A 3819-nucleotide genomic window follows, 5' to 3' on the forward strand; every position below is an offset into this window, starting at 1 on the left:
GCAGAGTAACATCTAGAATTCTCAGAGTTGGTGATTTAAAGAAAAGAGAAAAAAAAAACACTGACTAAAAATTAATCTTCAATTTCCCACAGGCCTTAAACTTCCAGCTGCTAAAAGACAGTGGGGTGTAGGGGGTGGAAAGAGACCTCATCTAGGAGGGACAGCTTGGTCTATGACAGTTGAGACAGGTGCCAAGGAGGGACGAAGTTGCTCTCTGCCAACTAGACTTAGGGGAAAAAACAACCATAATCATGTTTATTTTCATGATAAGCATATGCAAATCAGGCCACTACAATCTGTAAACATGGTAATTCCTCTTTATGGATAAGTTCAACTTAAAAGTTGTGAACAAGAGCAAAAGGATATAGTTTTCTAGTTTTCTAATGAGCTCAGAGTTTATGCCCAGTTATAGTTGAGCTCTGGAATGGTTTTTCTAGCTCTTCCTGTCCTTCTGTAGTTCTGGTAGAGAACCTATGAGGACCAGAAACAGAGCAAAGGCGGTTTAAATCCTGGCTGAACCGATTGCCCTCCACATGACCTAGGACAATTGACCCAACCTTTGTAGGCCTCAGTTTCCTTTCCTACAAAATAGGCAGGATAACCAGGAGGTCAAAGTGAAGTGACAAGATGTGAACCTGCTCTGTAAGATAATAAGCACTATTTGCTGGGAAGGGATTGCGGCTTCTTAGCTGTCCTTTAAGTGTGGTTGTCTGTGGATTAAGGAAGGAAAACTGGGTGTTAATTCTAAACAGCCCTCTGAATCAACTGGGGCTGAAGACCTGGGTGAGGGTAATCTATAGTCTGTGGATGTTAGGTGGTTAACTTCAAATAATTAGGAACAACACTGAAATATTTGACCATATCTAGTGCATCTGCTGAAAATTCTTTTTGAAAACTTAAACCCTGTAGTAGATTAAACCAGCCTTGGGCTACAGCCTGAAGCATGTGCCAATGAACCGTAGGCCTGCTAAGACCAGGAGAAGTACCAGGTGATAGAAAACAAAATGAATTTGGTGAATCTTACCTTCCCCACCCCTCCCTCCTTTTCCTCCCTTCCCTCATTTGAGGTTTAGATGTCCTGTTTCCTATAAACTCTCACATGCCCTGGTTTTTGACTAACGCATTTGTGATTAGACGAGGACATGGATAACTAATGAGAAGCCTCGTCACCCACGCAGCAGAGGAGCAGTGGAGAGATCACTCCTGAGTGTGCGTGCTGTGCTTAGCATAGCAGTGCGGCTCATAACCGTATGGGGGTGTTTAACAATGCCACTTGGTGATTTTTATGATGTCATGCCACAGTCTTCTTATGTCAGTTGGGCTCCTCCCACACCTATTATGAGGCATGAGAATGAAAGATCCCGCAGTTTATGGGCTGAGTCACAGTAGATGATTTGTAGGATTAAGATTAATCAGTGGCCTCTGATTAGAGTCTTAGTTAAATGAATCTGCTCCCTCCATGGGTCTTCGGTATTTAGAGACTTGGTCCAGGTTATCCTGTTAACCCGCTTTATTAGAGAATCTTATTGCTTTTTTTATGGGATTGTGAGAGCCCAAAGGTTTTTACTTTCAGCTGCTGCTGCTATTTTGCCCCTAAAAATAGAGAGTAAGCCATATTTTTTTTCTTTGGAAGAAAATGTTTTCTTTAAACTGTCATAGAAAAGGAGACTTTTCAAGCACATAGAAGTTATCTCAACTTTGGACTTGTGAAGAGAGCTGTCTGCATACACCGCATCTGGAATGAATAGGCACGATTCCTTCCCTCTGAGGGGTCTGCGGTGTCCCAGTCAGTGCAGAGGAGTTCAGGACACCGGTTCGATGCCTCTGAAGGAACAGCCATCATCATCCCTGGAAACATAGATTGTTGGTTGGTAGAGCTTATTGCTAAATTTGAAGAGTGTGCATCAGACACTAAAGCTGGTCCTTTCGTGAAGTGGGGTTTGGAGGCTGCACATTGCCAGAAAGAACCTGGCTTGCATCCCTTCCCTCTTCGTCACTCCCTGGCTTTTGGAGCCTCTTCATTAGGCTTGCTTGTGAAGTGTGTCCCTGTGCTCGGGTTCTCTTTCTGGATCTCAGTCCCCCTCAGATTGTCTGGTCCTTACTGTGATCTTCACACCTGACTCCGTTTTCTGAGTCCTGCTACCTAGTTCCAGCTCCAAGTCTCAAGTTCCCATGCAGGCCTCAGGCACACACAGACACATGTTCACTTTTGGGAAGATTCCACCCTGCCTCTGTGGCAGCTGTGCTGTGAGGCCGTTGAGAAGCCATGCACTATGTCAGCAGCGTTCTTTTCCCCCAGACTCTCAGACCCTGTGTGCCCCTCTCTGCACCGTGACCCTGTTTGTGGGACCCCGCTTTGGCTGTTTTGTCTCTTTGTTCTCTTCTCTTCCTCTTGAAAAGTGGACTCCCCTGGAGCTGTTCTTGACTGTTGTGTGATGTTGTCTACATTCCCTTTTGTGTTTTATTCACTAACTTCAAATTCCTGATCATCTGCCTGCAGACCACGCATAGAGCTTCTCCTAGTCAGCCTCACTGGCATCCCCAAACACTCCATTTGCCTGGCCAACCTCCAGCTCCACCTTTCTGTGATTTCCCTGCTCCTGTGAATGGTATCACCAGCCATCTAGTTAGCCGCTGCCATTGTCAGCCATCCCCTTCCTCCCACCCCTGGTGGTTCTGGCTTCACGTACCCTTCCCACCCCTCTTTAATATCTCAGAGTTCTGCGCTAATCTGGACCCTCATGCTGCTGGAGGGTACGCATGGCTGCACTGGTCACTCAGCGGCCCAGCTATCTCCATAGAATGGCCTAATGCCCATGTCTAAATCATGTTACTCTCATGCTCAGCCAATCCTCAGACCTTCAAGGGGTGCTCACAGGTTGCAAAAGGAAGCCCAAACATTTCAAAGTATTGGCCATGCCCCATATTCCCCGTCCTAATCTACTTGTAGCTGCACCAAACCCTTCACCTTATACAGCCTCCCTCTGGTCCTGGGGACTGTCTCTTAATGTTGCCCCTTTTGTGTCCTTTGCTTGTGTGAGTTCTTCTCTCTGGGACACTCAACTCTTCTGACCAAATCCCAGTTCAAACACAGTCTCCTTCAGGAAGCCTTTCTTGGTCTCTGAAGAGATCCTTCTTTCCCTGGGCTTCCCCAGCCCACCCGCTAAGTTGAGTATCCTAGAGGCACTTGCCCCGGCCTCTAGCTGCCCAGGAGTGATTTGTGTTCTTAGAAGCCTCATCTTCCTTTCAACTCTAAGTCCATTGAGTCAAGAACCTTGTCTTCTTAATGTATGTATCTTTCATTTACTGTATGAACTTGCTTTACTATGGTAAGCCCTGACAAATGATTGATTTCATCTTGTTGGAAGAAAGACGGCCTGGCTTCCATGAGGGGAGTTTTATATGTCTTACGTACTCTGCAAAAATCCTTATTGAGAGTTTTCTCCTATTTTAAATCAGACTCCAATTTGTGGATTAAAATTAGGTGACATGAAAGAATTTACAAAACATGATTCTTCTTTGGTCGTAATTTTTTGAGTGATATTTTTTCTTAATTCCATGTATATCTATCTCTTTTGTTGTTTTAAGACCTTGAACTGGGGCAAGCCCTTGATAGTTTCTTTAAGGAAGAAAAGAGAAACACATAAATTTGAAAATTCTAGTAGCTAAAATACTTCAAAAGTTAAGCTAATAGAATTAGCTCAAGAGAAATTATAATAACCTATATAATAACCTATATAGTCTCCAGTTAAGCATAATTTGCATAATCCCAGAATGGAATATGTCTGAACTTTCAGGAAAAAACTAATAAGATCAGCA

At 44.2% G+C, this 3819-nt stretch overlaps 1 annotated feature.

The window, feature by feature from the left end:
- Positions 913-2112: an enhancer, noted in NCBI's record as "BRD4-independent group 4 enhancer chr18:73141751-73142950 (GRCh37/hg19 assembly coordinates)". NCBI's record gives its function as "activates an origin of replication core promoter dependent on BRD2, P300/CBP, MED14 and CDK7 cofactors, and independent of BRD4, by STARR-seq in HCT116 cells {active_cell/tissue: HCT116}" and the evidence as "EXISTENCE:reporter gene assay evidence [ECO:0000049][PMID:35650434]".

The sequence above is a fragment of the Homo sapiens genome, chromosome 18, assembly GCF_000001405.40.
Source record: "Homo sapiens chromosome 18, GRCh38.p14 Primary Assembly".
Classification (NCBI taxonomy): domain Eukaryota; kingdom Metazoa; phylum Chordata; class Mammalia; order Primates; family Hominidae; genus Homo; species Homo sapiens.